Raw genomic sequence first — 22,106 nt, 5'->3', positions numbered from 1 at the left:
ATGGTGTCATATTTATTTTTGTATCTGTTATAGTATTTAGCACAGTGTCTGACACAAGAAATAATCACTGAGTTAATGAATGAACAGTTGATCTAGGAGGCACTGCCTGGATATCAAGGAAGGGACTTCATCTTGGGAAGATTTAGTAATACACTGAAAGCACCAAGCACAATTCCTGGTATCTATTAGAGGTTTCAAAAAACACTTGCTGAAATTCAATCTATTGTGATTTGACTTCCTTGCTTGATGAGGCAATAGGTTCCATTGTTCCATTTGAAAAAAAAGATAAAACCCACTGAAGGAAAAAAGTCCCATTCACTTTTAGACAGAATGACCTTGCTTTCATCTCTTTACACCTAGATCCATTAATCAATCATCAGCCACGTCAGAAGTCTAACCTTTACAGCTCAGTTAACCAACTCTTAAGATGTCTGTCACCCTTTAAGTGCAGAAAGAGGTGTAAACCCAGAGGAAAGTAAGAAAAATCTCAGAGTGCAAGCAGAGACCAAAATAGCTGGGCTGAGCCAAAGACGTAGAGATCATAGACAATATGGTGTGACTGGTCTGCCGGCCAGAAGGCAGGATTTGGGTTCCTGAGAAGCCAAAGCTGAGAAGTCCCGGAGTGGTGGCAGTGAAAGGAGAGAGCAGAGAATACCAAGGAGAACAAAATGTGCACAGAAGAGGGAAGAGAGCGGGAGACAGCAGAGGTGGTGGTGAGGTTAGAAGTGGCAATGGGGGTGGCAAGAGGCAGAGCTCTGGCAGTGCCTACAAGTATCCAGAGCCCTAAAGCTAAGAAATGGCAGAATTCAGGCATATTCCGTACGGTCAGAGTGTTGGACAGGCAGCCCTTCCCCCTCCCAGGACTTCCTATACCTCACACTCCTGGAGTGCAATGCCTTATCTCAGACAATAGTGAGCTCAATATGCCTGTGCTATGTCAGGGTATGGCACCATCAGCTACCCAGTTGTCCAAACCAGCAGCCTCATATGACCTGTGACTCTTCCCTCTCCTTCACTGCCTACATCCAGTTTCCTTTTTTGTTTGTTTGTTTGGTTGGTTTTTTTTTGAGACAGGGTCTCGCTCTCAGCCATGGCTCACTGCAGCCTTGAACTTCTGGGCTCAAGTGATCCTCCCACCTCAGCCTCCTGAGTAGCTGGGACTACAGGCGTTTGCCACCACGCCTGGCTAATTTTTCTTTTTTAATCTTTTGTGGAGACGAAGTCTCGCTGTGTTGCTAGGGCTGGTCTTGAACTCCTAGGCTCAAGTGATACATCTGCCTTGGCCTCATAAAGTGCTGGGATTACAGGCGTGAGCCACAGCACACTAGTCTTTTACCAAAGAACTATGGGTCCTACCTCCTAAACATCAAATGTTTATTTCTGTCCCTTCATTCAATAAATATTTATTGAGGACCTACTATGTACCAAGTACTGTGTGCTAGGGCTAAAAGAGCAAACAAAAACATTCTAGTCCCAGCCTGGCCAACATAGCAAGACACCTCTCTACAAAAAAAGAAAAAAATTGAAAAACAGCCAGGCGTGGTGGCTCATGCCTGTAATCTCAGCACTTTGAGAGGCCGAGGCAGACAGATCATGAGGTCAAGAGATCGAGACCATCCTGGCCAACACGGTGAAACCCCATCTCTACTAAAAATACAAAAATTAGCCGGGCGTGCGCCTGTAATCCTAGCTACTCGGGAGGCTGAGGCAGGAGAATCGCTTGACCCCAGGAGGTGGAGGTTGCAGTGAGCCAAGATCACGGCACTGCACCCCAGCCTGGCGACAGAGCAAGACTCTGTCTAAAAAAAAAAAAAAAAATTGAAAAAAGTAGCCAGGCGTGGTGACACACCCCTGTAGTCCTAGCTGCTCTGGAGACTGTGGCAGGAAGATCCTTGAGCCCAGGAGTTGGAGGCTGCAGTGGGCTGTGGGCGACAGAATGAGACCATGTCTAAAACAGAAACAAAAACAAAAACCAAAAACAGCATTCTAGTTACTTTCTAGTAGTTATGGTCTAGTGGAAGAACCATGTGGGAATAAGTGCTGTGAAGAATAGAGCCGGTTGGAGAGATGGAGAGTGGGACAGCTATTTATGGAGGGTGATCAGGGACAATCTCTTTGAGCAGGTGACATTTGAGCAAGAGATCTGAAGGAGGTGAGGGAGTGGACCCTGTGGCTACTAGGAAAGCGTGTTCCAGGATGAGGGAACAGTAAGTGTGAATGCCCTGAGGTGGCTCTAAGAGCTTTCCATCTCTGCAGTTAAGAGCCTTTATGATATGGTCCCTGACTCCCTCTGCAACCCCTTTTATCTTTCCCCACCTAGTGCTCTGTGTTCCAGTGAGTTCCAGTTCTCCCAGGCCCTTACACGTATTGTTCCTTCTATTCAGTTCACTCTCCCCTCCTCCCTCTTTGGGGAGCCTTGGCCTCTTACATCTATTTCAGAAGGTCCTTGTACATCCCTGTCAGTCCCCCATCTGTTTCCTTATCGCAATTCTTACCACACTGTATTGTAACCACATGTTGAAATATCTGTCGCTTCCTCCTGACTCTAAAATGCATATATGTCCTCCTCATCATTGTCACCCCAACAGCTAGCACAGGGCCTGCCATAACCATGACGAAATGGACATGTTGTTCAGTGTCACTTATAATTGACTATGTTACCCATTTAGAAAAGTCTTCTATTAGCACTGGCTCAGTAGCCAGCCTCTGCTCTCTGTGCCTCGGCTCTGCAGTTATCTCTGAGTCCCTCACCTTGTCCATCTCCTTGGTCAATCCTAACTTGAGCAAATGGTCCATCAGCAGCTTCAACCCCCAACACTAAGATATTATTGTATCACTGTATGCAGGCATGAATGGTGGCCTAAGATCATTCTTCCTCATCCATTGCTATATTGGCTTAATGCTTACAACTGGGTTTTTTCCCTCAGTTTCTCTCTCTAGCATTCAAGTTCTAAGCTGAGACTGCTGTGACCCTAATCTATTTTTCAGGGTCTCAGATTCCCTGCCTAGTTCTTAGACAGCCTCCTCCACAGAGTTAGACTGTATTCTCAATACACTTGGGAGCTGAATGGGGTCCTATCTAAAAAGACAGCTCACTTGGGACCAAGATGCCACCACATACCAAATATTACCTAACTTTTCTCTTTCCAGCAGAGTGCCCTTGGGCAAATGACCTAACTCCTCTAAGCATCACATTCCTCATCTGTTAAACAGATGTTTAAAGAAGGGCTGTTAGGAGGACTCAGTGAGATGATGCACTGTGGTAGGTAAAATAATGACCCTTCAAAGACAGCCACATCCTAATCCCCAAAACCTGGGAATATGTTGCCTTATGTGGTAAAAGAGACTTTATAGAAATGATTAAGTTAAGGATCTTCAGATGGGGGAGATTAGCCCGGATTATCCAGGTGGGTCTAATGAAATCACAAGCATCCTTATAAGAGGAAGGCAGGGGGTTTGAGTCAGAGAAGGTGTTGGGAGACATAGGTTATAGCAGTGCTGCTGCTGCTAGAAGGGGCCACAAGCCAAGGGATGCGGGCATTCTCTAGACACTGGAAAAGGCAAGGAAGAGATCCTCTCCTAGAAACTCCAGCAGGAATGCAGCCCTGCCAATAACTTGATTTCAGTCCAGCAAGACCCATTTTGGACTTCTGACCTCCAGAAATGTAAGAAAACAAGTCTGTGTTGCTTTTAGAAATAAGTTTGTGGTAATTTGTTACAGCAGCAAGAAGCATTTAGCAGATTCTGGCACATAGTAAGTGTTCGTACAATGTTATTGTCTATTCCTGCTCCCATACTCCTTGGAAAGAACCGCTGAAAGGCAGAGACGCTTGGCTCCATTCCCAGCTCCCCCACCAACTTGCTCTTAGTGATTTTTTTTTTTTTTTTTTTTTTGAGATGGTGTCTCGCTCTGTCGCACAGGCTGGAGTGCAGTGGTGCGATCTTGGCTCACTGCAACCTCTGCCTCCTGGGTTCAAGTGATTCTCCTGCCTCAGCCTCCCGAGTAGTTGGAATTACAGGTGCACGCCACCATGCCCGGCTAATTTTTGTATTTTTAGTAGAGACAGGGTTTCACCATGTTAGTCAGGCTGGTCTCGAACTCCTGATCTTAGGTGGTCCACTCACCTCAGCCTCCCAAAGTGCTGGGATTACAGGTGTGAGCCACCTCACCCAGCCCTTGGTGATTTTTAATAAGTCATTTCTCCTCTTTGACCACCACGTTTGGTTATTGCTGCCAGACCAAATCACTGGGTCTTTCTGGTGACTCCTCAGGGATGGGTCCTATCACTGTGTCAGTTCCCTCCACTTCTTGTCCCACCAAAACCCTGCTTCCTCCTCTACCCATATAACTGAGGTCCCAGCCTTGCTGCTGAGCCCACCTGAGTTATATAACTAATTCGTAAAATTTCATACTGAAGGCATAATCATTCAGGTATCTAGAAAATGCACTGGTCACCAATACTCAGAGATCATCTAATTTAACATACTTGTTTTGCAGAAGAGAGAAAGAAAACTCCGGGAGGGGAAATGACTTATTCAAAATCACAGAGCAAGTTGGTAAGGAAGCCAGACATGGAGGCAAGCATCTCTGCCTCTCAGAGGGTTTTCTGTCATGCTACACCCTCTGCACTAGCTCTAGTTTGCCTCCAAATGCTGTTTTTTTTCTTCACTTACAGCCAATCTAAAAAGGGCCCTCAGGATCGCCCACAATGCCCAGCTTAGCTTCTTGACAAACACCTTAATGGCGCAGCATTGCCTGTTGGCTGCCATCGGCTCTTGAGTGGGTGGTAAGTGCACTAGCGGGAATTCCCTGGCGCTCTGCAGAATGTCCTTGGCCCACTCCCAGGAGGCCACCACAAGCCAGATGATCACCATACCCGGGGAGGTGGCACATTTGGGGTTTTGGGTCAGCACTGGGATGTCCAAGTTTTGCAGTTCTGGGGAGGCCTCTGCCCACAGTCAGGAGTGTGGCCATGGTCTCATTCACTCTCTGGAAAAGGAGAGGCCTTAGTCTTCCTCACCCTGTCCAAGGCCCTCCCGCAGATCTGCTAATTTTCTGTCCCCTGAGGCTCGACTTCTTGGTGAGTTAAGAAAAGGGAAAAGTGAAGACAAAGACCAGTGGCCAGGCCTCAGGGTTTTTAAAATTTAAATTAAAAAAAATTTTTTTTTGAGACATAGTCTTGCTCTTGTCACCCAGGCTGGAGTGCAATGGCGTGATTTTGGCTCACTGCAACCTCCGCCTCTCGGGTTCAAGTGATTCTCCTGCCTCAGCCTCCTAAGTAGCTGGGATTACAGGTGCCCACCACCACGCTCAGCTAATTCTTTGTATTTTTTAGTAAAGACAGGGTTTCACCCTATTGGCCAGGCTGATCTCGAACTTCTGACCTCAGGTGATCCACCCACCTCAGCCTCCCAAAGTGCTGGGATTACAAGTGTGAGCCACTGCACCTGGCCTAATTTTTTTAAGACAGGGTTTCACTCTATGGCCCAGGCTGCAGTGCAGTGGTACAATCTCTGCTCTCTGTAGCCTCAACTTCTTGGGCTCAAGCAATCCTCCTGCCTCAGTCTCCCAAGTAGCTGTGACTGTAGGTGTATGCCACCATACACAGCTAATCTTTGTATTTTTTGTAGAGATAGGGTTTCGCCATGTTGCCCAGGCTGGTCTCAAACTCCTGGGCTCAAGTGATCCTCCCAGCTTGGCCTCCCAAAGTGCTAGGGTTACAGATGTGAGCCCCACAGCCAGACCAAGTCTCAGTTTCTTAACTGCAACAGGGAGATGGTTGAACTAAATAACCTGTAAGTCATGTTAAAAAGTTCCATTATTTTAGCCTAAGTGGATTGACTGTGAAGCCGATCTTCTGGTTCCTCATTGCCAGTCTTAAAGTCCAGATTCTTTAGCATGACACAACAACCCTTACAATGTGATGCCAATGCACCTTTCCAGCCCTGTTTTCTTTTGTAGAGATGGGGTTCTGCTCTGTCGCTCAGGCTGGAGTGCAGTGGCACAATCATAGCTCACTATGACCTCAAACTCTTGGTCTCAAGCAATCCTCCAGCCTCAGCCTCCTGAGAAGCTGGGATTACAGGCATGAGCCACCATGCCTGGTTCTGCCAGCCTCATGTTCTGTCCTGTACCTTCTACCCTTTATTGCTCACCTCAAGTACCCCAACCTCTAGCTATACTGACCTAATTGTGTTGCCTGAGCATATCCTGCAGAGTCCTGCCTCTGTGCCTTTATTTCATTCCCTCTCCCTAGAACTCCTTTCCCATATGTACTCTGGCCTCCCCATGGTGCGCTACTTCAAAATGCAACTTGAATGCCACTTCATCAGGGAGGGCTATCTGTCTGGGGTTAAATGGACTTTCTATGTGCTCCCAATGGCATTATATGTATCCTCATTTATAGCATATTTTGTATTACATTATAAATAATGGTTTACATGCCTGTAGTCCCCTTTGAACTCATCCTCATGGAAGTTACAGCCGGTGGGAGAGATAGACATGGAAATACTAAACATTTCATTACAGTGGTGATAAGTGGAATGAAAGAGAAGAACCAGGAGCTACAAAAGTGTGTGGCAGGAGATATAGGCTGTGATATCAGGGATGGCCTCCCTGAGTACATGACATCTCAGCTGACATCTGTGAATGAACAGAAGAGGCTAGGTGAAGGCTGAGAATGAGACTCCAGGAAAGAGTACCTTACTGAATTCCTGAATGGGAAGGAGCCTGTATATTAGAAAAAGAGAGGGAAGGGCAGGGTGACTGGAGTCTAGTGACCAATGGGGAGAATGGGTGGTATAAAAGGAAGTCAGAGAGATGGGAAGGACTCAGTCATGCAGGGCCTCATCGGCTTCATTAAGCATGTTTTTGTTTTTGTTTTAGACAGGGTTTTGCGCTGTGGCCCAGGCTTGAGTGCAGTGGTGTGATCTCTGTCCACTGTAGCCTCAGCTTCCTGGGCTCAAGCAATCCTCCTGCCTCAGCCTCCCAAGTAGCTGTGACTACAGGCACATGCCACCACACCCAGCTACTCTTTGTATTTTTTTGTAGAGATGGGGTTTTGCCATGTTGCACAGGCTGGTCTCAAACTCCCGGACTCAAGTGATCCTTGTGGGTGCTGCGTCCAAGGGAGTTTATAATATTGTTCTTTCCATTTTCATATGCATTTGAAAGTTTTCCATAATAAAACTAAAAGGAAGAAGTGATAGTAGTACAGTAATAATAGTATAATCTTTGTCCTAAGAGTCATTTTAAGCCAGGTGAGGGTGGGAGTAAGGTGATCAGATTTTGGTTTGTTTTTAATTTTTTTTATTATTCAATATTTCAGTCATTCAGAAAGGCATAAAATAACAATATATATTGGAAAATCACCAGCCAGCTTTGTCAAACATTAGTTTTTGCCATATAGGCTTCAGATATAACTGACTCCTGAGTGGACTGATTGATTGATTCATTGATTGATTTTTGATACAGAGTCTTGCTTTGGCTGGAGTACAGTAGTTCAATCCTGGCTCACTGTAACCTCCGCCTCCCAGGTTCAAGTGATTCTTGTGCCTCAGCCACCCAAGTAGCTGGAACTACAGGCATGTACCACCATGCATAGCTAATTTTTTTGTATTTTTAATAGAGATAGGGTTTCACCATGTTGGCCAGGCTGGTCTCGAACTCCTGGCCTCAAATGATCTTTATACATACATATGTATAAAGAGAGAAAGGAGTAAAGAACAACTCCTGACTTTCTGGCCAAGTACTTTTGGTGCCCTTTATGCCTCGTAAGTGTTTGTGGCATAGAATTGAGTCTTTAAATTACTGCTAACAGGCAAGGCCAGGGCTCATGCCTGTAAGCCCTTTGGGAGGCCAAGGTGGGCGGGTCACTTGAGCCCTAAAATGAGTACTCGCCCCTAAGTTGTGCTAAGAAAGCTTAAAAGCATTCAGGGCAGGAGCCAGCAGCCAGAACAACTCAGGAACAAACTCCAGTCCCTCCACTTCCTCAACATGGCTCTGAGCAGGTCGCTCCTCTGCTCAGAAACCTTTAATGACTCCCCTCAGCCTTTGGACAAAAGCCAAATGCACAATCTGCTCTCAGTCTCCCTCTCCAGCCTCTTCTCCTTATACACTCTTACTGGAAACAGCAAGTAACTTGATGATTCAGGCACATCAAATTATCCACTGTTTCCTAAACATGCCATGCATTTTTGTGGAGCCATGGTTCATATTTTTTATTCTGCCTGGACTGCCCCACTCACCCTTCTCCATCATTCTCCTCCCTCAAAGGTTCATCTCAGATACCACCTTCTTCCTGAAGCATTCTCTGGCTTCCCGAACCTCAACTGGGGAACCTCATCTCCTCCCTCTTCGGTGCTTCCCGGCACCTTGTTATACCTCTAGCATGCATTCATTTATTCTTCACAAAAGGTAGCGACTTTTGTGTGCCAAGCACTATTCAAAGAAGTTGATGGGGATTAGATAACAAAATTAATTTTAAAATATTTATCACATGTCCAGAATGTATCATGCACTGTGCTAGGTACTGAGGAGATATTGGCTGTGGTTTGTTCTTCCTGTTTTGAGTTCAAACAATACCATACTATAGGGCTAGGCATTTCCTAAGATTAGTCTTTTGGGTACAATTATAATTTACTTTTATTAGTTCTAAAAATACCTCTTTCAAGGACCAGAGTAGGACATACTTGAAAGTAGAAAAGACTGGCTAAAAGGCTACAATAATAATCCAGAACAGGAAACTTGTATAGTGGGCAGAGTGCTGAGCCCAAGAACAGAAAACCTAGCTTCTGTTATTTGCTTTAATTTCTTTTTTTCTTCTGAGACGGAGATTCACTCTTTTGCCCAGGCTGGAGTGAAGTGGCACAGTCTTGGCTCACTACAACCTCTGCCCCCGGGGTTCAAGCAATTCTCCTGCCTCAGCAGCTGGGATTACAGGCATGCACCACCAGGCTCAGCTAATTTTTGTATTTTTAGTAGAGATGGGGTTTCACCATGTTGGCCAGGCTAGTCTCAAACTCCTGACCTCAGGTGATCCACCTGCCTCGGCCTCCCAAAGTGCTGGGATTACAGGTGTGAGCCACCATGCCTGGCCTGCTTTAATGTTTATGAGCTATGTGTGGGTCCTTAGACAAGATGATAGGCAATTCACATCATCTTTGAGTCTCCTTTTACTCACCTATAAAATGAGGACAATGTCTTCCTTATCTACCTCATGGTATTGTTCCCAGGACCAAATAGGGCCACATACATGGCATATGGGAAGTGCAAAGCACCTTACAAATATAAACAGCTATTAAAGTAATATGAAACCCCACAGTAAAAATAAGAGAAAATGAATTAAAAATACAGTAGACTAGATCCAGCTTATGTAAAAGGGAAAACTTCCTAATAGTGAGTTTTTTTTTTCCAGACAAGAATGAAGATATACTGGAGGCCATGATCACAGTGAAAGAATATTTTGATTTGGGAATACGTTGGTGCTTCTTAGTAGGTCACTCTCTTACCCCTCCAATCATTCGGGGTCAATCTTCCTTGACTACAGTTTCAAACCAAAGACTGTTCTCCATCTCCTCAGCACAAACCACTCAAAACCAGTCTCAAGGGCAGGAATCCATAAGTCCTGGGTCTAGGAGTCACACTCTGTTACTTATTCATGTGGCCTGTGATAATTGACTTGTCTCTTTCATCCTGTTCTGATCTTCCTCAGAATCAAGTTGGAAACTAGGAAGGCCAGAAAAGTATTTGAGGAGCATTCTACTCAGCAAATAAGAGAAGTGGTGCTTTTAATAAATCAAATGAAGGAAGCCAGTTAGAGAATCAGTGGGACCTCTTGATGTGTAAGATAAAAAAGAAAGACTAAAGAAAGCATAGGATCCTGTTTGTTGAGCTTCAAGGGGTCGGGGGTTGTGGGGTGTGGAGAAAAATAAAGCAAAGGAGAAGATAGACTGAATAAAAAAATTTTTTGGCTTGGTAATGAAAGATCATAGATACGAAATGAAAAATCAATGATGATGAAAAATGCTTTCAATTTAGAAATCAGGAGAACTAGGAAAAGTTCTACAGTAGTTCCGAATCATCTACTATCACGTTCTGTGCCCTTGGGCAACTCAATTAAAGAAGTATCTAGTAAGTGCTGTAGTAGGTACTGGGTGATCTCTAAGGTCACGGTTATCTCTCAATTTCTTTCTATTGATGCCACTACCATTAGAAGACTACCTAAAGAGTTCTGAAGGAACTCAAGGGTGAGCTTGTGGAACCACTGCCAAAAGGAATAGGCTTGATTTCTACCGAAGAAAGTACAAGTTGGCAATGAGTCCCATCTCTAAGAAGGGTTTTAGAAGGGGGCTTGGAGCCCCATGCCCATGAGTGCCTATTTCAGATCCATGTAACTTTTTGAGATAAAGGATAAAGAGTAGAATCATTGATTGCTCATTGAATACTTAATGATGAGCATTGAGAATCAGGGATTTTGTTCAATGTAAAAAAATAAAACATTTTGGTCAAGAAAGCCTTGCCTAAGAACCAACCTTCCTCTCCCCAAAAATAATGTTTAACTATTAAAAAATAAATAGGGCTGGGCACGGTGGCTCACACCTATAATCCCAGCACTTTGGGAGGCTGAGGAAGGTGGATCACTTGAGGTCACGAGTTTGAGACCAGCCTGGCCAATACGGCGAAAACCCTTCTCTACTAAAAATACAAAAATTAACCGGGCGTGGTGGTGCATGCCTGTAATCCCAGTTACTCAGGAGGCTGAGGCAGGAGAATCGCTTGAACCTGGGAGGCGGAGGTTGCAGTGAGCCGAGATCACCCCACTGCACTCCAGCCTGGGCAACAGAGTGAGACTCTGTCTCAAAAATAAATAAATAAAATAAATAAAAATAAGTAAATAAATAAATGACAAACTGGCTGGGGCTGCCTTAAAAATGTTTCCTGGAGAAGAGAGAAGAAAATGACAACTAGAGAAATCAGGGAAAGTTTATTGGAGAAGCAGGGCTTGAGCTGAAACTTTAAGGAAAGGTTTCAAATGAACGGGTAGGGGTGCAGAAGTAACTATGTGACAATGTCCAGAGAAATATGGGCAGCCTGTCTAAGGGTAAAGGAGAGATGAGCTTGTCGAGTAAGGATGCGTTATCAATAAGCAGTGGGAAATATGGCCTGCTAATGGAGGGGTAGGGTGGAGACAGACTCCAGAGGGCTTAAAAGACAGAAAGAGGAGTAAGCAATATTATCTGCCGGCTTAAAAGCAACAATATTTCTATAAGGTGTCAATCAAGTGATCCCCTAGTGTTCAGTGAAAGGATAATTAGGCACAAATTATTGAGAGAAGCAGTGGATATAATTTGTCTATCTTTCAGGAAGTTTTGGACAATGTATTAGACATTTAAAATGGAGTCATTGTCAAATTAAGGATGATGTTTTTGTCACTTAGAAAACAATAGATAGATATAAATGGTCACTTCCGTGAATGAAAGGGGATTAAGAGTGCAGGGGGCCCCAAGAGACCATGCTGGGACCTGTCTCACTTAAATTTTTTATAAGTGATCCAGAAGAAATATAGCAAAGTGAAAATTTCAAGACTTCAGATCATATTAAGCCCTTTCAGACAGGGAAATGCTATGCCAAAAGAGAAGGAAGGAGGAAGAGGTGGAGGAAGGGAGAGAGAGAGTGAGCGAATGCTTGAAGGAAGTTACTGAGTGCAATGCAAGATGGCAGACAAACGTCAAGGTGGAGAAATGTAAGGTAATGCACTCCGATAAAAATAATCCACATACAGGGTGTTGTGTTCCAGGCTATCAGTTTTGACCCAGGAAAAGGCTCCGGGAGCTATTATAGATTGTTCCCTAAAGGCAGTGGCCTAGTGTGTTGAGATCAGGAAAGCTGACAGAGGGAAGGGGGAAGCAGGATGGGACCAGGAGAGCAAAGAAGAAACCAACCTTCCTTTATGCAAAACCGTAGGGTCCTGTATCTGGAGACAATGGTCAAGTTGACATCTATTGAAAATTAGGGCCAAAAGGTATCTAGAAAAGGACAACTAAAATGACCCAGAGAATGAGTGTGGCTATTCTAGGGGTCTCGTGTCATAGGGGGAAACTTAAGTTTAAAAAGACAAAGGCTAAGAGGTGGAATAATCAAAGCCTATAAAACTGATACAGGTAAGGACTAGCTTCCTCTTAATGCTTGAAATATTGTAGGAATAAAAAAGTTTCAGAGTTGAGATTGTCTAGCTCTATCTCTTTATGTTAGACATGGTGAAATTCAAGCCTAGAGAGGGCAAGGAAATGGCTCAAGGTCACACAAACCAATGGGGGCCAAGGTCAGATCAGAGCCCAGGCCTCCTTAATCCCAGGCCAGGGTCTTTCCACCTCATCCTGTGCACTCAGGCAGTCTAAAGCAATCTTTCTTCTAGGGTATAAACTTAGGAAATGCATTACTTTAACATGTGATAAAACACATGTGAAAACACAAAGAGGCTAAGCAAAGTTTCCACAACAAGTCAACCAGCAATTATAAAATCTTTGGAGGACAACTGCCAACTGGCACTAAAGGTTCTTTTACACACCATATCTTTTTTGTTGTTTTGTGGAACCTGTAACCCTTTGAGAGGCTGAAGAAATCTAGGGGTCCTCGCCTAGAAATACACACATTTGCACTTACAAATTTGTACGCAATTTCAGTGCACGTATGACCCCCTGAGCTCCATGCCCAATTAAGAATATCTCTTGAGGCAGATTCTTCTAAACAAACAGACTGCCTGCTTCAACAAATATACTCCATCTCTTAGGGTGGCGAGGCTATCACTCTGATTTTCCTCAGCAAAACACCATTGTCCCAACATCATTTATTAGAATATTGCAGTCCTCTAGGTTGGAAGATACTAGAGAAATTAGTCCAACTGCACCCCCCATGAGATATAGGATAAGGTCATGGGTAAATAAGGGGAGACTAGAGTCAGCCTGCCTAGGTTAGAATTCCAATTCCATCACTCACTAGCTGTGTGACCTTGGGCAAGTTACTTAAGCTCTTTGAGTCTGTATCCCCATCTGTAAAATGGGGATAATAATTGCAGCTATTTCATAGAGTAGTTATGAGGATTGAATTGGATAATTCGTATAAAACATAGCACCAGGCCTGGCACATAGTGAGTGTTCAGTAAATGCTAGCTGGCATTATTGTGATGATGATGTATGCATCCATGCAAGCATTATGCATGCCTCCATCCAATCCCCTCCGAGAGCTTTTACTTGCACATGCCAGTGATGAGCAGCTCGCCGCCTCCTAAGCTGGTTGAGCAGCTCCAATTGTTACAAACTTCTTCCTATATCGAGCCCAAATTTGTCTTCTTGCAACCCCCACTCCCGCTGGCCCTAGTTCTGCCCTGTGGGGCCAAGCTAGAACAAGTCTATCCTACCTCCACCTGACAGCCCTTCAGCTACGAAGACAGTGATCGAGTCCTTCCTCCGCCCTCCCCCTCCCCCTTCTCCAGCTTGAACATCCTCGGTTTCTTCTCCCAACCCACAACAGACTGGCTGCGCTTACTATTTACTCCGAGGCGTTGTACGGTTTCCCTCGCACATAGTCATGCAGGCCACACACCCCACTGCCAACACAACAAACCCGACCCTCGTGCTCGGCCCCCGCCCGCTGCCCCTGTCCGCGGTGCTGAAGCAGCTCCCGGCCTCGGCGGCCCTCGGCGAGGCCCTCCCCAGCCCCCGCCCTGGGCCGCGCCAGCCCGGACCCAAGGCGCGGACCCCCGGCGCGCCGCCTCCGCGACCTCGGCAGTAGGTGCGGCCCGGCCCAGGCCCGTCCCCGGTGCCGCCCCCCGCCCTGCCCGGATGCCCCGAGCCCGCGCCCCGGCCCCGCGCGCCAGCCCCACCTGCCCGGCGAAGGGCGCCTCCGCCTCGTCCGCCCGCGCCACCGCCACCGCCACCGCTGCCCGGTTCCCTGCCCCCGCCGCCGCCGCCGCCGCCCGCGCGGCGCCCGGGAGGCAGCAGAGCGCGGGCAGCAGCAGCAGCAGCAGCCGCCCAGGGACCCGCCAGCGGCTCCAGCGCGGGGCCTGGCCCGGCGGCGGCGGCGGCGGCGGCGGCCCCGGCGCGGCGCGGCCGCCCCGGCTCCTCGGCATCCCGGCGGCGGGGCCCGCGCCCGGCCCGCCTGCCTTCGCCGCCGCCGCCGCCGCCTCGGCCGCCAGCGCGCCCCCGCCTCCGCGCGCCCCGCCCCGGTGGGGGGCGGCCGGGGGCGCGGGGGCAGCACCCGGGCGGGACCTGCGAGGGCAGTGGCTCCCCGACCAGCCCTGGGGCAGGGGCCGCGGAGCGGCGCTGGGGAGGGGGTTGCAGAGGCTAAAAGAACAGTTCTAGAGGCAGGGTCCGAAGGGGTGGAACTGGAGGTCGGGGTCTGGGGGTAGCCCTGAGCAGGAGGGGGAAGAGGCTAAATCAGTAATCCTGGAGGTAGAACAACTGGATGGCCCTGGGGGAACATATCCGGGGTTGGGGGTCCGGAACCCTGGGGAGAGGGTCCTAGGGAGTGGCATTGGAGGAGAGGGGGCCTGAGAGGCAGCCTGGGGGAGGAGACTGAGGAGCGGCTCTGGGGTAAAGGCGGGGTTCGAGAGCAAGCTAAAGAAATAGCCCTGGGTCTGAGAGGGTGACTCCGGAGAGGGAGCTCTGAGTGGCTCTCCTGGGCCGGGGTGGTGGGGGAAAGGGGTAGAGAAGACCTGAGGAGCGTTTAAGAGGGGGCATTCCTGTGAGACATTAGGTGAAGTTGAGGTGAAGCTCAGTCCCTCACCCCTAGAGGGAAAGAGCTCATCCAGCTGGGAAGATCATCTTTCATCCAAAACAACCCATATTTATCAAGCGCTTTCTATTTGTAGGGCTCTGGGCTACTTGGGATGCTGAAAGGAAAAAAAAAAACACCCAAAAACAAAAACAAAAAAGAGAAGGCCGATTTCCTGGAGTGCAGAGGTTTACAGCTTGATGAGAAAACATAAACGCAAAGAAAAACAGAATGGCAAACACCACGTGTCAACAAGGATACAGGCGGCTGCTCCAGGGGTCGAGGGAGACCTGATGAGGGGCTGGGGAAGTTAGGAAAAAGTGTAATGGAGGAGGGTGGGACTCTAGCTAGGACCTGAAGGAAAGGCTGGATTTAAACCAGGGGAGGGGAGAGGAGAGGGCATTTCAGGGAGGAAGTTGAGGGTGTACAGGATGTGCCTGAGGCGGCAGATAAGTTTCTCTGGAGCACAGGGTTCCTATAGGAAAGTGTTGGGAAGTGAGGGAAGTTGTACAAGACAGTGAATGCTAGGATAATAAATTTGGGTTGTGTTCTGAAGGAAAATGGGGGAGGGTGGTCATTAAAGGTTGTGTGTGTGTGGTGTGTGTGTGTGTATGTGTGTGTTTAAGCAGGATGATGTGTGAAAATAGTATTTTATGATTACGTGGTAATTTGGAGATGAAAAAAGGGCACAGGCTTTAGCGTCAGACCTATGTTCATATCTTGGCTCTGTTCCATTTTTATAAAATGATGCTACTATTACTGTATAAGATTGCTTTCAGCATGAGGTGCTTGACACTTAATAGATATTCCATGTTAGTTCCCCTCCCAGTGGAGAGAATAATGACCAGAGGAGGCAGAGAGATTGGTTAGGAGACTAGTGTAATAGTCTAAGTATAAGGAAATAAGGATAACAATAATAATTAACATTTATTGAGTGCCTAATACATACTAGTTACTGGGCTAAGCACTTTCCTCCACGATATCTCATTTAATCTTCATAGATAAACCCTATGAAATAGATGCTATTATTACCCCTAATTTAGGATAAAGAAGTGGAAGACTCTGAATAAGTTTGCCAAACTTGCGTGATTCATAAGTGATAGAGCTGAATCGATTTGACTTCAGAACCCATTTTTTTCTAGGATGGGGGTGAGAAAAGAGACAGATTTAAGAGACAATGGGCATACAAGAAGAGGGAAAGGAGTTTGGAGTGATGGCAAATCGAGAAAGATGGATGGTAGCATCTTCACAGAAACGGAGTCCTCATGTGGAGGAACTGGCTTGAAGGAGGTGACAAGGAGCTCGGTTTTAGACTTGCTGAAACTGGGGTGACCACAAGATCTGTGAGATGGGTATGGGAATGAGTTCTCGAAGAAGGTGGAGAATGGATATTTTGGACACCTTCAAGTAAATACGGTAGTTGAAGCTGAAAGCAAAGAGTTGAAGAGAGCAAAAGGCCAAGAGTTCCATCCTGAGACATACATATTCAGAGCCTGAGAAAAGTCAAGCCAAAAGTGAATCTAAAGATTGTCCAAAAAGACTGAAGAATCAGGATTGTGGAGTATCACCGGAAAGAAGAAGAGAGGTTCAAAGAAAAGGAAGGAGTTGGCTGGGCGTGGTGACTCACACCTGTAATCCCAGCATTTTGGGAGGCCAAAGCAGGCGGATTACATGAGTCCAGGAGTTTGAGACCAGCCTGGCCAACATGGTGAAACCCTGTCTCTGCAAAAAATACAAAAATTAGCCAGGCATAGTGGTGCACACCTGTAATCCCAGCTACTGAGGAGGCTGAGGCCTGAGAATCGCTTGAACCTGGGAGGCAGAGGTTGCAGAGAGCTGAGATTGCGCCACCGCACTCCAGCCCAGTAACAGAGTGAGACTCTGTCTAAAAAAAAAGAGAGAGAGAGAAGGAGTTGACAGTCTCAGGGAAATCAAAGAGACTGAAGACTGTATTAACACCATTGAGGTGAACAGCTCACAGTCCCGGTAGGGAGATGATAGAGACAAATCATTGTGGTTACATGATGAGTTATGACACGAATGAGAACAAAGTGTTGTGGAAACACTGAGGAAAGAGCAATGAACTGCCAAAGTTGGAAGGTTTGGGAGGGGATATATTCCAGAAAGAAGAAATAGTATATTCAAAGAATGAAGGGGAACAGACTGGACTGAGCTCTGTCTTATTCTTCTCCTTTCCTCTAATACCAAATGCTTGTGGAACTGCCGATGATGATATAGCACTGTGGTGGTCCACCTTGACCAGCTCCCAAGGATGGCGGATGTGAATGGCAGTAGGTATTGATGATAAGGAAAGAAGAGGCTGATAGAAGTCAATGGTTGCTTATAAAATGGATCCCTAAGATAGTCCTTAGTAAGAGGACGGTCCAGAGACTGCTGTGAAATCAGTTCAAGAGGAGGTTTAGAAGGTTTCAGAGCAACACCCCAAGATAGAATCACGGGAACTCTGACTTTGCAGCCTCCAGTCACCATGATGAGCATGGGATAAAATGGAAACAGCACTTGACTTAACGTCAGATACCTGATTCAAGCACTGGCTCTGTCACTGACTTTTGGTATGCCTTTCAGCAAGTCACTTCATTTATTTGGGCCTTGGTTGCCTCATAAAATGAAATGAATGACCTCTGTCTTCTCCACTTCACTTGAAAGACCACATGAGTGGTTGGAATTCACTTAATGAACTATATGGTAAACTGACCAGCTGCTAGGAAAAGCTTTTTATTATTATTATTATTATTATTATTATACTTTAAGTTTTAGGGTACATGTGCACAATGTGCAGGTTTGTTACATATGTATACATGTGCCATGTTGGTGTACTGCACCCATTAACTCGTCATTCAGCATTAGGTGTATCTCCTAATGCTATCTCTCCCCCCTCCCCCCACCCCACAACAGTCCCCGGAGTGTGACGTTCCCACTCCTGTGTCCATGTGTTCTGTTGTTCAATTCCCACCTATGAGTGAGAACATGCAGTGTTCGGTTTTTTGTCCTTGCGATAGTTTGCTGAGAATGATGATTTCCAGTTTCATCTATGTCCCTACAAAGGACATGAACTCATCATTTTTTTATGGCTGCATAGTATTCCATGGTGTATATGTGCCACATTTTCTTAATCCAGTCTATCATTGTTGGACATTTGGGTTGGTTCCAAGTCTTTGCTATTGTGAATAGTGCCACAATAAACATACATGTGCACGTATCTTTATAGCAGCATGATTTATAGTCCTTTGGGTATATAGCCAGTAATGGGATGGCTGGGTCAAATGGTATTTCTAGTTCTAGATCCCTGAGGAATCGCCACACTGACTTCCACAATGGTTGAACTAGTTTACAGTCCCACCAACAGTGTAAAGGTGTTCCTATTTCTCCACATCCTCTCCAGCACCTGTTGTTTCCTGACTTTTTAATGATTGCCATTCTAACTGGTGTGAGATGGTATCTCATTGTGGTTTTGATTTGCATTTCTCTGATGGCCAATGATGATGAGCATTTTTTCATGTGTTTTTTGGCTGCATAAATGTCTTCTTTTGAGAAGTGTCTGTTCATATCCTTCGCCCACTTTTTAATGGGGTTGTTTGTTTTTTTCTTTCTTTTTTTATTATTATTATTATACTTTAAGTTTTAGGGTACATGTGCACAATGTGCAGGTTAGTTACATATGTATACATGTGCCATGCTGGTGTGCTGTACCCATTAACTCGTCATTTAGCATTAGGTATATCTCCTAATGCTATCCCTCACCCCTCCCCCCACCCCACAACAGTCCCCAGAGTGTGATGTTGGAAAACCTTTGACACTGATAATCTTAACAAGAAATATTATATTGGGGCTGGCGCAGTGGCTCAAACCTGTAATCCCAGCACTTTGAGAGGCTGAGGCAGGTGGATCACCTGAGGTCTGGAGTTCGAGACCAGCCTGGCCAACATGGTGAAACCCCATCTCTACAAAACTTAGCCGGGCGTGGTGGTGCACGCCTGTAATCCCAGCTACTTGGGGGCTGAGGCAGGAGAATTGCTTGAACCTGGGAGGCAGATGTTGCAGTGAACCAAGATTGTGCCACTGCACCCTGGCATGGGCGACAAGAGACTCTGTTTCAAAAAAGAAAAAAAAAAAAAGAAAAGAAAAGAATTATGATATTGGCTGGGCACAGTTGTTCACACCTGTAATCCTACCACTTTGGGAGGCCAAGGAGGATGGATCACTTGAGCCCGGGAGTTCAAGACCAGCCTGGGCAACATGGTGAAACTCTGTCTTTACAAAAAAAAAAAAAAAAAAAAAAATTTAGCTGGGAGTTGTGGCACATGGCTGTAGTCCCAGCTACTTGGGAGGCTGAGGAGAGAGGATCACTTGAGGCCAGGAGGCAGAGATTACAGTTAGCTGTGATTATGCCACTGCACTCCAGTCCGGGCAACAGAGCTAGACCCTGTCTCAAGAAAAGAAAAAAAAGAAATGTTATATCAGTGCCTGAGCTCACTGTAGATAAACTGGGTCCCCTCTTCCCTTCACCTCCTTTCATATTTATTTATATATTTTGAGATGGAGTTTTGCTCTTTTGCCCAGGCTGGAGTGAAGTGGCATGATCTCGGCTCACTGCAACCTCCGTCTCCTGGGTTCAAGCGGTTCTCCTGCCTCAGCCTCCTGAGCAGCTGGAATTATAGGCACCCACCAACATGCCCGGCTAATTTTTGTATTTTTAGTAGAGATGGGGTTTCGCCATGTTGGCCAGGCTGGTCTCAAACTCCTGACGTCAGGTGATCCACCTGCCTTGGCCTCCCAAAGTGCTAGAACTACAGGCATGAGCCACTGCACCTGGCCTCATATTTCTTTATTCAACTAATATTTATTAAATATCTTTTTGGTGCTAGATACTGTGAGTGGGGCTAGGGATGTAAAGAAGATCAAGTTATAGTTGCCTTCTTTAGGAAGATAGTCGGTTGGGAAGATAGACAATTATCCAGATAACAAGATAACATAATATGTGCTATAATAGAGAAATGGGAGTAGGGAGGAGGGAACAACTGACTGTCTAGAGATGGCAGGTGAGACAGACCTTGAGTGACCAGCAGGAGTTTGCTATGTAGAATGGGAGGGAAAACTATGTACAAAGACAACAGATATATATGGAGACAACAACCATTTACATAATAATACGAAGACATTGTTTTCTTTTTAAACTCTCATTTTCTCATGAGAGTACTGGGTAGTTTTCCAGGGCTTCATGGCACATTATACAGATTGAATGAGAAGTAAATAGGATAATACAATTATCTTCTATTAAACCAGACATAAAACAGATTTTCAAAAAAGCAAAACAGTAGCATTCCTCTCACTATTTTTTTTGTTTCGTTTTGGAACAAAACAGCTAAATTTTTATTATTTTTTTAAAAATAAAAATGTTATGTTAACATGTTTATTATTGTTATTTTAAATGAATTAGTATGTAAATATTTAACAATTTCTCAGTTTTGATCCCTAGTGTGATACTTATCAATAGACAGAATCCACATAAACAAAAGTTATTTGGAGTCCTGAATTTTCAAAAGTTATTTGGAGTCCTGAAATTTTTTTTTTTTTTTTTTTGAGACAGAGTCTCGCACTATTTCCCGTGCTGGAGTGCAGTGGCGAAATCTTGGCTCACTGCAACCTCTGCCTCCCAGGTTCAAGCGATTCTCCTGCCTCAGCCTCCCAAGTAGCCGGGATTACGTAATAGGTGCCAGCCACCACACTTGGCTAATTTTTTGTATTTTTAGTAGAGATGGGGTTTCACTATGTTGGCCAGGCTGGTCTTGAACTCCTGACCTCATGATCTGCCTGCCTCGGCCTCCCAGAGTGCTGAGATTACAGGCATGAGCTACCAAGCCCAGCCTGAATGTTTTTGTGTTTTTTTTTTTTTTGAGACAGGGTCTCACCCTGTCGCCCAGGCTACAGTGCAGTGGCACAATCATAGCTCACTGCAACCTCAAACTCCTGAGCTCAGGTGATCCTCCCACCTGAGCCTTTCAAGTACCAGAGACTACAGGAATGAACCACTGTGTCTGGCCCTCAATACTTTGAGTGTAGAGAGGGTCCTGAGACCAAAAGGCATGAGTACTCTGTTCTGGGCAGAATGACCCAAAACAGAGGAGCAAAATGATAACGTTTGATTTCACTCAAGAAACAAGTTCAACAAATACTTATGTGAAACACCTATTTTGTGTTGAACATTATTCTCGGTACTGGGATGATAGAGCTTTGAACAAATCTAATAACACTTCCTGCTTTCATGGAACTTAAATTATAATGGAGCAGGCCGGGCATGGTGGCTCACACCTGTAATCCCAGCACTTTGGGAGGCCAAGGTGGGCAGATCACCTGAAGTTGGGAGTTCAAGACCAGCCTGGCTAACATGGTGAAACCCCATCTCTACTAAAAAACACAAAAATTAGCTGGGCATGGTGGTGCACATCTGTCATCCCAGGTACTCAGGAGGCTGAGGCACGAGAATCACTTGAACCCGGGAAGTGGAGGTTGCAGTGAGCTGAGATCGCACCACTACATTCCAGCCTGGGTGACAGAGTGAGACTCTGTCTCAAAAGAAAAAACAAAACAAAACAAAACAAAAACAAACAAACAAAAAAACTGGGGTGATAGACAACGAACAAAATGATTTAAATATATATATGTAGTTAAATAGCATTTTTTTTCTGTTGAGAAAAGCAGGATTTAGGACTTGAAATCTGAATGGTGTGTGTGTGTGTGTGAGAGAGAGAGAGAGAGAGAAAAAAAAAAAATTTTTGGATGGAGTGGCCAGGGAAGGCCTCAGTAAAAAAGTGAGTTTTTTGTAAAGATCTGGAGGAACAAGGGAGTGAACCATGTAGATATCTGAAAGAAATGAATCCAGGCAGACGGAACAGCAAATGCAAAAGTTTTGAGGCAAGAACGTGCCTGGTAGGTTTGAGGAAAAGGGTAAGAATCACTGTGGTTAGAGTGGAAGAGAGTGAGAGTATCAGGAGATGAAGGTTATGGAGGGAAGGGTGGTCTACATGAGATAAAAAACTGATGGGGCTGGGCATGGTGGCTCATGCCTGTAATCCCAGCACTTTGGGAGACTGAGGTAGGACAGTCTCTTGATCCTCTCACCTGATCATCATCTGTCATCTCCTGATACTCTCACTCATCACTTGAGGCCAGGAGTTCAAGACACCATCTCTACCAAAAACAAAAAAAAATTACCCAGGAATGGTGGGGTACACCTGTAGTCCTGGCTACTTGGGAGGCTGAGGTGAGAGGATTGCTTGAGCATGGGACTTTGAGAATGTCGTAAACTATGTGA

At 45.8% G+C, this 22,106-nt stretch overlaps 2 protein-coding genes across 4 annotated transcripts in view, besides 1 other annotated feature; one reads left to right on the top strand and one right to left on the bottom strand.

Moving 5' to 3' along the window:
- Positions 1 to 14,178, bottom strand: part of MMP24 (matrix metallopeptidase 24) — a 50,309-nt gene extending 36,131 nt beyond the window's left edge. For all 3 annotated transcript variants that reach the window (NM_006690.4, XM_011528500.3, XM_017027597.2), the window contains exon 1: positions 13,884 to 14,178. In NM_006690.4, coding sequence (NP_006681.1) covers positions 13,884 to 14,129 — 246 coding nt within the window. In that variant the 5' untranslated portion in view covers positions 14,130 to 14,178. The remainder of the gene's footprint in view (positions 1 to 13,883) is intronic.
- Positions 1 to 22,106, top strand: part of MMP24-AS1-EDEM2 (MMP24-AS1-EDEM2 readthrough) — a 162,759-nt gene that overhangs the window by 37,255 nt on the left and 103,398 nt on the right. Inside the window, exon 3 of the mRNA NM_001355008.2 lies at positions 4,677 to 4,787. The gene's annotated coding sequence lies outside the window, so the exon portion shown is untranslated. The remainder of the gene's footprint in view (positions 1 to 4,676; positions 4,788 to 22,106) is intronic.
- Positions 1,896 to 2,035: an enhancer, noted in NCBI's record as "active region_17775". NCBI's record gives its function as "activates an Ori minimal core promoter by ATAC-STARR-seq in GM12878 lymphoblastoid cells {active_cell/tissue: GM12878}" and the evidence as "EXISTENCE:reporter gene assay evidence [ECO:0000049][PMID:35858748]".

Source organism: Homo sapiens, chromosome 20, assembly GCF_000001405.40.
Source record: "Homo sapiens chromosome 20, GRCh38.p14 Primary Assembly".
Taxonomy (NCBI): domain Eukaryota; kingdom Metazoa; phylum Chordata; class Mammalia; order Primates; family Hominidae; genus Homo; species Homo sapiens.
Note: the sequence above shows the minus strand (reverse complement) of the source record. Positions and strands in the feature narration are given on the sequence as shown.